The 13,378-nt window shown below is 47.1% G+C and overlaps 1 protein-coding gene across 9 annotated transcripts in view, besides 3 other annotated features; it reads left to right on the top strand.

Annotated features, from left to right (window-relative positions):
- Nucleotides 2,025–2,074: a silencer, noted in NCBI's record as "silent region_13294". NCBI's record gives its function as "represses an Ori minimal core promoter by ATAC-STARR-seq in GM12878 lymphoblastoid cells {active_cell/tissue: GM12878}" and the evidence as "EXISTENCE:reporter gene assay evidence [ECO:0000049][PMID:35858748]".
- Nucleotides 2,225–2,864: a silencer, noted in NCBI's record as "silent region_13293". NCBI's record gives its function as "represses an Ori minimal core promoter by ATAC-STARR-seq in GM12878 lymphoblastoid cells {active_cell/tissue: GM12878}" and the evidence as "EXISTENCE:reporter gene assay evidence [ECO:0000049][PMID:35858748]".
- Nucleotides 2,336–13,378, top strand: part of HLCS (holocarboxylase synthetase) — a 241,587-nt gene continuing 230,544 nt past the window's right edge. For 5 of the 9 annotated variants that reach the window (NR_148020.2, XM_024452065.2, NM_001352515.2 and 2 more), the window contains exon 1: nt 2,336–2,389. The gene's annotated coding sequence lies outside the window, so the exon portion shown is untranslated. Of the gene's footprint in view, nt 2,390–11,552; nt 11,907–13,378 lie in introns of those variants that run through there. The other 4 variants (NR_148021.1, NM_001352517.1, NM_001242785.2 and 1 more) reach the window with 2 other exon arrangements.
- Nucleotides 11,862–11,921: a silencer, noted in NCBI's record as "silent region_13292". NCBI's record gives its function as "represses an Ori minimal core promoter by ATAC-STARR-seq in GM12878 lymphoblastoid cells {active_cell/tissue: GM12878}" and the evidence as "EXISTENCE:reporter gene assay evidence [ECO:0000049][PMID:35858748]".

Genomic DNA, 13,378 nt, shown 5'->3' with positions numbered 1-13,378 from the left:
TATATTGCTTAGGCTGGTCTTGGACTCCTGGGCTCAAGCTATCCTCCCACCACAGCCTCCCAAATAACTGATTATAGGCATGCCTCACCACATCTGGCTTATTTCTAGTTTACTTGTTTATTTATTTATGATTCTTGTCTTTTCTGAGACAAGATCTTGCTCTGTTGCCCAGGCAGGAGTGCAGTGGCGTCATCTTGACTCACGGCAGCCTCAACCTCCTAGGCTCAAGAGATCCTCCCCCCTCAGCCTCCTGAGTAGCTGGGACTACAGGCGCACGCTGCCATGCCTGGCTATTTTTTTTTTTTAAGAGATGGGGTCTCACTGTGTCACCCAGGCTGGCTCTGAAACTCTTGGGCCCAAGTGATCCTCCCACCTTGGCCTCCCAAAGTGCTGGGATTACAGGTGTGCCCATGACACTCAGCTCTAATTTTTTTTTAAAGCGTTATTTTTAGAATAGTTTAAGATTTACAGATAATTTGCAAGATAGTGCAGAGAGTTCCCATAAACCAGTTTCCTCATATTTGTATCTTACATTAGTATGGCACATTTGTTAACAATTAATAAACCAACATTGGTACGTTATATTATTGATATTATTGGTACATTATTTAAATTTCCTCCATTTTCTACCAATGTCCTTTTTCTGTTCCAGGATCCCATCTAGGACACCACTTACATTTAACCATCATGTCTCCTTAGATGCCTCTTGGCTGAGGCAGTTCCTCACACTCTCTTTGGTTTTGGTGACCTTGTCAACCTCCATAACAGAGAGGTTCTCTAAAAGAAAATGGTATTTATTTGGGAACAGGGCATTGCAATGGAGCCATGTGGGCCATTTTAAGCTATGTGTGTGAAATTCAGGGAGGTAAAGGAAGACCAAGATTTTTAAAGAAAAAATGAGGAGGATTACATATTGTTTTTGATAATTAGCCTCAGCTACAAGTATCGATCAGGGTGATACCAGTCTGAAGTTGGACAGGCTATTGCTGGGCAGATGTCCTGGCAGGAATCTTCTTTTGGGAAGGCTGACATGGCCTCTGTGGACAGTGTTGATCTTTTATGAGCATTTGTGACATCACGCATTTAGGAACAAGAATCCTCTTCATGGCTTTCCCCAGCTCTATTTGTCATTTTTTTTTTCTCTCTCTTTTAACACAAATGACTCCACCATTTTGATTCTGACCACATTCACAACCTTGACCGATTTTAGGTTGGCTATTTTGTACAATGTCCCTCTGCTGGGATTTGTCTGATGTTTTTCTCACGATTAAACTGGGTTATTGGTTTAGGGAGTTTGGTATAAAAAATCTATTTGGTCTTTGTCCCCAGTTCCTGACACAGAACTCCTAAACCCCTTGGAATTTCCTAGGCAATAGGAGTGTTTTTGTTATTCATAATGACTCCCTTAGTCAAATCACAGTTTCTACTAATGAGGTGGCTAATTGCGGGCTCTAGGATGGATTCAGGGTGGGGCTGGTGCAACACACCATGTGATCAGAGGGTTGTAACTTTCATTCAGCTCCAACATGTCCCTACTCCTCTTGCGGGAAGGGAAAGGGGCTGGAGGTTGAATTCAATCACTAATGGCCAATGACATAATGAAACCTGGATAAAAATCTCTTAAACAGGGTTCGGAGAGCTTCCAGGCAGGTGGGCACACAGAGGTGCTGTGAGGACAGCACTCCCGCCCTTCACCCCCCGTGCTGCGCATCTCTTGCACTCGGCTGTTACCGAGTTGTGTTCTTTACAATAATCTTCTAACAGTAAAGTGTCTCCCTGAGTTCTGTGTCGTCCCAGGGAATTGCTGAACCTCACGGGAGCTGTGGCAATCCCTCAGTTTCTAGTGGGCAGGGTAGAAATGCGGGCATTCTGGGCACCCCGCTTGTGGCTGGCGAAGGGAGGGCAGTCTCCCTGGGCTAATCCCTTAACCAGTAGTTTCGCGCTAATTCAGCTGGTGTCAGAGAACTGGGGAATAGGTCGTCGATGCTGGAAAGGGCAACGTGGTGTTTGGTGCCGGTCAGGGAGGAAGGCGCGGAGGGAAGGTGTAGGCCTGCCTTCCGCAGGGCAGGGTGAGGTTCGGCCCTGTAAGGCCGCAGGAGTGGGCGAGGCTAGAGCGAGCGCGGCAAGAAGGCGGCAGAAGCGCGCCTCCCAGGCAGCGTGGGCGAGAGAGGACAGGTGGCCGAGAGGCAGAAGCTGGCTAGCGGCGAAAGGCCCGCGTTCCCGAGCGCGCGGCACCGCGGCCAGGGCAGGAGGAGGCCAGGCGGCCCCGCGGCCCTGCGCAGAGAGCCCAGTTGCACCACCAGGCGGGCCACGAGAGGGCGCAGCGCGGCGCGGCAGGGATTCGCGGGCGACCACCCGGCGCAGGAGCGGCCGCGTTTCGGCCTCAGAAGTAAGTCGGGGCGCTGCGGGCCGGGACAGGGGTGGGCGTTCGCCGGGGGCGTGCTGGGGCCGGGCGAGGGTCAGGCAGTCCACCGCGAGCCTCTGCCAGGGAACAGCCGTCTCCTGAGTCGAGGCCTCGGGGCTGCAGCCGGGACGGCCGGAAAGCCGCCTCCAGCTGCCAGAAGGGGGCGGGGCTTCCGGTGGAGCAGCCATAGGGACCTCGCGGCCCAGGGCAGCGCGGCCTCCGCGCGCCGCTGGCGTTCTTCCCTGCGGGACCCGGGCTGGCTCGGCCCGGCTGTCAGTGCGCACGCGCGGCGACGCGGCCTGAGAACCTGGGTTCGCGCGCCCTGTCCCCCTCCCACGGGCCCCTGGCCGCGTGCCCCGCGCCCATGTTAGGGGCAGAGCCGCAGGGCCTACTCGCCGCTAAAAAGCACGGTTGACTAGGACCTGCGTGTGGGGAAAGGCTTCCTAATGACCCAGCGCCTAAGTGCCCGGAAAAAAAAGACTGATACATAATAACATTAAAAAACGGAAGCTGGGGCCGGGCGCGGTGGTTCACGCTTGTAATCTCAGCACTTCGCGAGGCCGAGGCAGGCAGATCACTTGAGGTCAGGAGTTCGAGACCAGCCTGGGCAACATGGTGAAACCGTGTCTCTGCTAAAAATAACAAAAATTAGTCGGTCGTGCTGCTGGTGGTGCTCCTGTAATCCCAGCTACTCAGGAGGCTGAGGCAGGAGAATCACTTGAACTCGGGAGGTGGAGGTTGCAGTGAGCTGAGATTGCACCGCTGCACTCCAGCCTGGACGACAAGAGCGAACTCCGTCTCATTAAAAAAAAAAAAAAAAAAAAAAAAGATGGGCCAGACACTGTGGCTCACGCCTGTAATCCCAGCACGCTGGGAGGCCTAGGTGGGAGAATCTCTTTGAGTTCAGGAGTTGGAGACCAGCCTGGCCAACATGGCGAAAACCCCTCTGCAAAAAATAAGAAAAGTTCGTTTCAGCTACTCCGGAGGCTGAGGTGGGAGGATTGCTTTAGCCAGGGAGGCAGAGCTTGCTGTCAGCAGAGATGGCGGCTCTGCACTCCAGCCTGGGTGAGGGAGTGAGACCCTGTCTCAAAAAAAATAAATAAATAAATAAATAAAATAAAATAAAATTAAAAGGAAAAAGAAAAAAAAATCCCCTACCATTGATTAAAGACAGATGTCAAACTGGGAAAAAATATTTGCAACATCTATCACAGATAAAGGGTTAAGATCCCAAGTATGTAAATAACTCAAACATTGAGGGAAGCAAAGACCAAATAGGCAAAAAACATGAACTGACAATCTGCACAAAAATGACATAAAACTGGCCCTTCAATGAAAAGATGTTCCGTTTCTCCCATAGGAGGAGAAATGCAGGGTACTCTGAGATACCATCACGGTTCTAACTGATCCCGTTGCTAAGTGCAAAGCAACAGGACAGTCTGTGGGGTAACAGATGCTCTCATACATTGCTGGTGGGAATGCAAGATGGTCCAACTCCTAGAGAGGAACATTTAGCATTGTTTAACAAAACTACATATGCATTTACCCCTTGACCCAGCAATTCTACAGGTAGGAATTTACTCTGGAGAAACGCCTACACCAGTATAAAAGTGTATATATGTACAAGGTCACTCATTGCAGCATTGTTTGCAATGGCAAAATTTTGGAAACAACTTCAGTGCCAATACATAGGCAATTGGGTGAATAAACCCTGGTACATCCACACAATGCACGTATAAAAAACAGTGAGGAAGGTCTCTGAACTGATGTGGAGTGATTTCTAGGGTATACAGTACTAGGAAGTGAACAAAAGTTAAACAGAGAGTACTGTGTTAGGCTACTTTTTGTGTGAAACATTCAAGTATCTCCTTATTTTTGGAAAGAAAAAGAGAAAAGGGAAAAAAGAAACCTAGGAAGAAAAAACTAGAAACTAATAAATTGGCTACTTGCAGTGGGTGGATGAGAATGGGGTGAAAGTCTAAGAGGAAATGACACATCTCCAGGCATACCTTTTTTGGGGGCAGTTTTGACTTTTCAAAACATGTTAATGTTTTAGTATTTAAAAAGAAAAACTAAATCAACATAAGATGGGGGAAAGGAAACCTAAAATTGAATACAAACAGAAGTGAACAAATGAGCTAAACTGCATAGTAAATTAGTCATAGAAAGGCAAACTCAAATAACTTTGAACACAGCTCTTTGACTATCCACCTGTGTGTAAACAAACAAAACTACAAAGAAATTTTGTACTTCACTTAGTTGGTAGTGATCTGGTATAGCAATTCTGAAAATATTTTCTGTGTATTGTAGGATTAAACAAATAAGTAAATATAATGATATTCTTGGGAGCTGGGATCCTCACTATGAGAGAAGAAAGATAAAAATATGGAGTGAAGGAAGGCAAAGAAGAGCTCCATGAATTGGAATGAGAGATTCCACAGATTACTTATTAATTACAAAGATAAAAAAGGAACCTTTATAGTGGAGAAACTTGGAAACTTGGTGGATAACACAACTTTTCGTTTTTTTGGAGACAGAGTCTCGCTCTGTTGCCCAGGCTGGAGTGCAGTGGTGTGATCTCGGCTCACTGCAACCTCTGCCTCCCAGGTTCAGACAATTCTTCTGCCTCAGCCTCCTGAGTAGCTGGGATTACAGGCACGCACCACCACACCTGGCTAATTTTTGTATTTTTAGTAGAGACAGGGTTTCACCATGCTAGCCATGCTGGTCTCGAACTCCTGGCCTCAAGTGATCTGCCCACCTCAGCCTCACAAAGTGCTGGGATTACAGGAGTGAGCCACTGCGCCTGTCCTGCTTTTCATTTTGACTTGAGTTATTTCTAAGATCTGTCTGCTGAGAGAGCTGGGGAGCAGGGCCACCCAAGTAGCAATGAGCATTCCTCATGCCCATATCTTGTTTTCTAAATACCATTGTCCATTAAAAGGAGTCAGAGCTCCTAGGAGAAATGGCTCATTGTGGGAAGGGGAGGGAAGGTCAACGATGAGTCAGGAGCGGCTTGTTCAAAACACAAGGAGGTGCTCAAAGAATGATAGAGACAGGTCAGAAGGACACAGGGGTCAGCTTGATGGGGCTCCAGTGGCCAAACCTGGAACAATTTGAATATCAAAATTAATAATGGCAATAATGAATTATCACGTTGAATAAAAGAGAATCCATGAGTCCAGAGTCATACTAAAAAGCAAATAAACTTACCAACAAATACATAAACAGAGGTAGAAGAGGAGAATGCCAGCTAATGATTGCTGAAGGAACAACAGAGTTGGAAAAGTTGGCTAGTCTGAAGGTAGCAAGTTATCTCAATTGATTGTTCATGGTCAGTTACAGATTGAACTCTTTGTTTTATTCTTTTCCCCCTTCTCACTACTGCATTTGACTAATCATACAGAAAACGTTACCACATTGTAGGCCGGGTATAGTGGCTCATGCCTGTAGTCCCAGCACTTTGGGAGGCCAAGGCGGGTGGATCACCTGAGGTCGGGTGGATCACCTGAGCCTGACCAACATGGAGAAACCCTGTCTCTACTAAAAATACAAAATTAGCTGGGCATGGTGGTACATGCCTGTAATCCCAGCTACTCAGGAGGCTGAGGCAGGAGAATGACTTGAACCCGGGAGGCGGAGGTTGTGGTGAGCTGAGATCGCACCATTGCACTCCAGCCTGGGCAATGAGTGAAACTCCATCTCAAAAACCAAAAAACAAACGAAAAGTTACCACATTGCAACTAACACAGTCATGACTCATTCAGGTGGGCGCTTACTGGGTGTCTTGGTCTGTTTTATGCTTCCGTAACAGAATACCTGAGACTGGGTAATTTATAATGAACAGAAATGTATTTGCCTTATGGTTCTGGAGGCTGGGAAGTCCAAGATTGAGGAGCCACATCTGGTGAGGGCCTTCTGGCTGCATCATCTCATGGTGGAAAGCAGAAGGGCAAGAGGGTGAGCAAGGGAAAGAGAAAGGAAGGGGCCAAACTCATCCCTTTATCAGGAGCCCACTCCCGCAATAACAGCAGAGCCTTTATGACCAAATCACCCACCTCTCAACACTGTTGCACTGGGGATTACATTTCCAACACATGCACTTGGGGAATACATTCAAACCATAGCACTGGGGAATAAGATGCCAAAGCCTCACTCCACAGATTACGTATGAATTACAAACATATACAAGGAACCTTTATAGTGGTTCTTCTGGAAACCACCTTAACCATGTGAACAAAGTCAGCGTCATCAATTTGAACTGACATCCTGTGCCAAAAATGCATAACCTGAATTGGATTTAGGAAACATTAGACAAACACAAATTGAGGGACCAGCTGCAATATAATGGGGCTAACTTTTTTTTTTTTTTTCCCCAAGACCAAGTCTCACTCTGTCACCCAGGCTGGAGTGCAGTGGCCCGATCTTGGCTCACTGCAACCTCCACCTCCCAGGTCCAAGCGATTCTCCTGCCTCAGCCTCCTGAGTACCTGGGACTACAGGTGTGCACTACCACGCCCAGCTAATTTTTGTATTTTTAGTAGAGATGGGGTTTTACTACTTTGGCCAGGATGGTCTCGATCTCTTGATCTCGTGATCTGCCCGCCTCGGCCTCCCAAAGTGCTGGGATTACAGGCGTGAGCCACCGTGCCCAGCGAATTTTTGTATTTTTAGTAGAGACGGGGTTTCACCATGTTGGCCAGGATGATCTCAAACTCCTGACCTCAAGTGATCCGCCCGCCTTGGCCTCCCAAAGTGCTGGGATTACAGGCGTGAGCCACCGCGCCCAGCCGGGGCTGACTTTTAAAAGATGTCAAGGTCATGAAAGACTAAGGAACTATTCCAGATTAAAAGGGAATAAAGAGACATGGCAGCTAAATGACATGTGTGTCCTTGCATTGGGAAAAATAATACTGCTAGCAAGAATGTTATTTGGGACAATTGACTAAATGTGAATAGCAGTTATTAGCATTGGATGGATGCTGATACCTGAATCTGAATATTGCAGTGTTAAATTTTCTGCATCTGATCATTGCAGTGTGGTTATGTTGGAGAAATATTCTTGTTCTTAGGAAATACAGCTTGAAGTACTAGGGTGAAGGGTCATGGTTTCTGCAATTTAATCTCAAATGGTTCTGGAAAGAAAGTTATACTTTGTACCACTGAATGGATATATAGTAATTGTCCCCTTAGCTGTGCTGTTGCTTTCCAAGGTTTCAGTTACCTGTGGCCAACTGCAGTTTGAAAATATTAAATGAAAAAAAAAAAACAAGAAAAAGAAAATATAAAATGGAACATTCCAGAACATTTCATAAGATTTATTTGTTTATTTAATTTTGATAGATTTAGAGGGTACAAGTGCCCCTGTTTTGTTACATGGGTATATTGGGAAGTGGTGAAGTCTGGATTTTGAGTGCAGCCATCACCCCTGATCATGTACATTGTACCCATTAAGTAATTTCTCATTGTTCACCCCTTCCACCCTTCTGAGCCTCCAATGCCTGTTATTCCACTCTCTGTGTCCATGTGTACACATTATTGAGCTCCCACTTAGAAGTGAGAACATAATTCATGAGTTTTAAATTGTGTGCGGTTCGGAACAGCACGATGAAATCTCACACCTTCCTGTTCTGTCTCACCTGGGACACGAATCATCTCTTTGTCCAGCAGATTCTCCCATTTGTCACTTAGTAGCTCTGTTGGTGATCAGATCGACTGTTGTGGTATCACAGTGCTTGTGTTCTAGTCATTCTTACTTTATTTAATTTTATTATTAGTTTATTATTACCCTATTTTATTATTAGTTGTTAATTTGTTATTGTGCCTAACGTATAAACTTTGTCATAGGTAAGTAATAGGAAAAAACAATATATATAGGGTTCAGGCGTCCACTGGGGGTCTTGGAACATACCCTTGTGGATAAGGGGGGACTACTCTACCACAGTTTGCTTAATATGTTCCTTATTGAACATTTAAAATTTTCCAATTTAAAAAAATCATTCTTGGCCAGGTGTGGTGGCTTATGTATATGATTCTAGGGCTTTGTGAGGCAAAGGTGGTTAGATCGTTTGAGGCCAGGAGTTCGAGACCAGCCTGGGCAACATAGCAAGAACCCATCTCTATACAAAATACAAAAATAATTAGCAGGCAATGGTGGTTTGTGCATATAGTATCAGCTACTTGGGAGGCTGAGGCAGGAGGGTCAGTTAAGCACAGGAGTTTGAGGCTACAGTGAGCTATGATAGCACCACTGCACTCCAGCCTGTGATATACCCTGTCTTAAAAAAAAAAAATTTTTTTTTTTTTGAGACGGAGTCTCTCTGCGTCACCCAGGCTTGAGTGCAGTGACACCATCTCGTCTCACTGCAAGCTCTGCCTCCCGGGTTCACGCCATTCTCCTGCCTCAGCCTCCTGAGTAGTTGGGACTACAGGTGCCCGCCACCACGCCGGGCTAATTTTTTGTATTTTTAGTAGAGACTGGGTTTCACCATGTTAACCAGGATGGTCTCGATCTCCTGACCTCGTGATCTGCCCGCCTCAGCCTCCCAAAGTGTTGGGATTACAGGCGTGAGCCACTGCGCCCGGCCAAAAAAATCATTTTTATAAGGATTGTTGCTATTAAAGCCTTCACAGGCTGGGCGCAGTGGCTCGTGCCTGTAATCCTAGCACTTTGGGAGGTCGAGGTGGGCGGGTCACTTGAGGTCAGGGGTTCGAGACCAGCCTGGCCAACATAGTGAAACCCCATCTCTACTAAAAATACAAAAATTAGCTGGGTGTGGTGGTGGGCACCTGTAGTCCTAGCTACTTCGGAGGCTGAGGCAGGAGAATCACTTGAACCCAGGAGGCGGGGGTTGCAGTGAGCCAAGATCGTGCTTCTGCACTCCAGCTTGGGTGACAGAGTGAGACTCTGTCTCATTAAATAAATAAATAAACAAACATTAAAAAAGAAGAAAATAAAAAAGAGGTTGTATGGACCGTGGGAGGCAAGAGCGGTAGATTCTGAAGGCAGCTGCTTATGCTGTTGTGCCCAGGATTCTCATATCACTGCAGACACTCTCCACACCATGCTTACGCCAGAGTTTTTTTGTTTTTGTTTTTGTTTTTTTTTTGAGACGGAGTCTCGCTGTGTCGCCCAGGCTGTAGTGCATTGGCACAATCTCGGCTCACTGCAACCTCCGCCTCCGCCTTCTGGGTTTAAGCAATTCTCTGCCTCAGCTTCCCGAGTAGCTGGGATTACAGGTGCGTGCCACCATGGCTGGCTAATTTTTGTATTTTTAGTAGAGATGGGGTTTCACCATCTTGGCCAGGCTGGTCTTCAACTCCTGACCTCGTGATCCACCTGCCTCGGTCTCCCAAAGTGCTAGGATTACAGGCGTGATCCACTGCACTTGGCCTGCCAGAGTTTTTAAGTTAATGACACCCCTGGCATTGTCCTAGGATTCATGGGTCTAATCCCAGCTACAATGCGTAAATTTAGACGTGGACAATAGGGGATCTGTAATTAGCTGGATCATTGCCTCTAGGAGATTTTCTTGACTAAGAACCACAATATGAAGCTTTGTGTTTGAGGACCTCATAATTCTCCAAGACAGTTTGTGAAAATCAGTATAAATCTAAAATTGAAAGGAAAATGTGTTTGACCTGAAAAATACCGAGTCAAAAACAAAAGTCACTTTTAATGGGAGTGTACATTGGTATAACTGCTTTGGAAAACAGTTTAGCATTATCTCTTAATTCTGCACATTAATTAGCTTGCTGGACGTATGCCTGGTGTAGTAATGGGTCCACACCCAGAGAAATGCTTGCCCAGGGGCTCCAGGAGACGAGTGGATGTTCAGAACAATATTATTTGTTAGAGGAAACAAACTGGAGATAACCCCATGTTGATCCCCAGGAGAATGGCTAAACAAAGTAGGATATGATCACAAATAGAATATTAGATAGCAGTGAACATGAATAAAATGCAGCTTTGCGAAATTGTATGTGTGAATCTTAGAAACATTGAATAGAAAGAATGCAAGGCTTGGAAATCTGCTTATTGAATAATATTCTTATAAAGCAAGAAAAAAAAAACAACCATACCTAGCCTCAGCTCTTGTGTTATGAGAAACCCCAGCAGTGATAGGATGTCTCATTTGAAATTTTCTTTGTGGTAGGGCTATTCTGCACAACATCCATAAACACTTCCCGGGCATCAGACTTGATTCATTTTCCTATTTATTTCCTCCTCTTTGGGAGAGAGTATTCTAATTAACATCATGTGTGTCCCACCACAGATTAAAGAATTCCCCCATTCCCCTAAACTGAGAAGGAGAGGCTGCAAGTCTTTGCTTGAAATTTTTGTGCTGAAAGTGAAGCATTCAGGGTTCCAGTGGCAGAATTAGGACTCCATCCTTAGGGTAGCAGGAGAAGTCTGGTAGTGCCTTTAGAAAAGGAAGGTTAAGGCCGGATGCAGTGGCTTACAGCTGTAACCCCAGCACTTTGGGAGGCTGAGGTGGGTGGATCACCTGAGGTCAGGAGTTTGAGACTAGCCTGGCCAACATGGTGAAACACTGTCTCTACTAAAAATACAAAAATTATCTGGACATGGTGGCGGGCGCCTGTAATCCCAATACTTAAGAGGCTGAGGCAGGAGAATCACTTGAACCTGGGAGGCGGAGGTTATAGTGAGCCAAGATCGTGCCACTGCACTCCAGGCTGGGTGACAGAGTGAGACTCCGTCTCAAAAAAAAAAAAAAAAAAAAAAAGGAAGGTTAAGAGTTAATAGATTAATAGATTCAGCTCTCAGTTCCTCATCAGAATTAGGGAGGAGTAACATGGGGAAAGAAATCCAGAATAACTAGTTAAGCCCATACATTGCACCTCCTTCATCAAATAACCCATCAGGAGTGCCAAATTTGGCTACTTTTGTCTGTCACTCATTTTATTCAGCAAAACCTTAAGCCAACTTCATTATTTTGCCAGGAAAACAGACCCATTTCCTGCCCTTGAAGGTTTGCAGTCTCAAGGGGGAAAGCAGTACAACCTTTACAAGCAGTTATCAAGGTGGGTGGGTGGTGTTGCAGGCGAGCGTGGAAGGGGCCCACCTGGCCAGGGGGCAGGCCATACCTCCCTGGGAGGTGACGTTTGACCTATGAGGCAAGCCCTAAAGGACAGGTAGGGATCCCCCGCGGATGCCGTGCTGGCGAGGCAGGGCCTGAGCAGCCAGTGGAGAAGGGCAGCGGGAAGTGCGCTGTGCAGGAGCCAGACGTCTCAGCCCGTGTGGCCAGAGGTGGCAGGGGCGCGGCCTGAGCGGGGCTGGGGCGCGGGCAGGATTTGGGGCTGCGCCGAGGGGCGTCCCGACCTGGCCCTTTGCCACGGTAGGTTCCGGCTCCCATGCCTCCGCTGCCATCTGCGCTGTCCTTGGCGACTACGCCTTCACCCCCCTGGGTGCGTTTCAGCGGTCCCGGAGCCTGGCGGGAGCGGGGCCAGGAGCGCTCCGCGGCCGGTATCAGGCCTGCAGGTAGGGACGCGCGGCCGCCCGGGGCTCTGGGGACTCGGGTGTCCAGGTGCCGAAGTCGCCGCTTCCACGGGGGACTCAGGCCCGTGAGTGGGTTTCCTAAGAACTTACCAGATTCCACGGCTCGGGTTTCCTGCCTTGGATCCTGCTTTTTATTCCCCAGGGGGAGTTATTTATAGACAGGAATCGTGTGTTCAAGGCCTGGCTCTTCGGACTCGGCGTTTTTCTTGTTCGAGGTGCTTCAATGGGGGCTGGATGCCATCATCTTCCAGGTCTGGAATCTTGTAGAAAACGAGCTGTACAGGCAGGAGTTCAGTTCAGCTGTATCATCTGTTCTTGGCCTCTTCTGGAAACGGGCTAATTCTCTGTTTAGGGCTTTATCATTTTATAACCGAGTAACATACTAGCCCTGTGGTTGAGTTGTTTCTTCCTATTTTTTTTTTTTTTAAATATAGTCAGGGTCTCACTCCATTGCTCAGGCTGGATGGAGTGCATTGATGTGATCGCAGCTCACTGCAGCCTTGAACTCCTGGGCTCAAGCAATCCTCCCTTTTCAGCCTCTGAGTATCTGGGACCACCACACCCAGCCTTTTTTTTTTTTTTTTTTTTTTTTTTTTGAGATGGGGACTTGCTCTGTCGCCCAGGCTGGAGTACAAGTGGCGTGATTGCGGCTCACTGCAGCCTCGACCTCCCCAGGAGTAGCTGGAACTACAGGCACACACCACCATGCCTGGCTAATTTTCTTTACTTTTGTAGAGATGTGGTTTCACCATGTTGCCCAGGCTGGTCTTGAACTTGAGTTCAAGTGATTTGCCCGCTTTTGCCTCCCAAAGTGTTAGGATTACAGGCGTGAGCCACCACACCTGGCCGCCTGGCTAATTTTTAATTTTCTGTACAGATGGAGTCTCCCTATGTTGCAAAGACCGGTCTCAAACTCCTGGCCTGAAGTGATCCTTCTGCTTTGGCCTCTCAAAGTGCTGGCATTATAGGTGTGAGCCACTGTGCCTGGTCCGTATTGCTGTTTTATCACCAGCTACCTGCAGTGCATTTGGGCTAAACATGTCGTTTGCATAAAACCATTTTAAAAATCACAAATTGACCTGCAAAGCAAGGTGTATCAACAGAGGGGCATGGCAGCTTCATGGGACCCCCCTATAGGAGACTCAATCCTGGGTGCCTCTATAGAAACATAAATTCAGTGAAAACAAAGGAGCTAGTTCCCATGGCTGGAGAATGTAAACGGATGAAGGTAATGCCCCCCTTCTCCCACCATAGTCTTTCCAGGGAATTTATTTCCAGCTCCATTAAATTTATAGCATCAAGGGTTTATAATAGGTAGTTTTTTTCTTTCTTTCTTTTTTTTTTTTTTTTGAGACTGAGTCTTGCTCTGTCACCCAGGCCTGGAGGGCAGTGGCGCGATCTTGGCTCACTGCAAGCTCCGCCTCCTGGGTTCATGCTATTCTCCTGCCTCAGCC

This window comes from Homo sapiens, chromosome 21 (genome assembly GCF_000001405.40).
Source record: "Homo sapiens chromosome 21, GRCh38.p14 Primary Assembly".
In the NCBI taxonomy this organism is placed as follows: Eukaryota; Metazoa; Chordata; class Mammalia; order Primates; family Hominidae; genus Homo; species Homo sapiens.
Note: the sequence above shows the minus strand (reverse complement) of the source record. Positions and strands in the feature narration are given on the sequence as shown.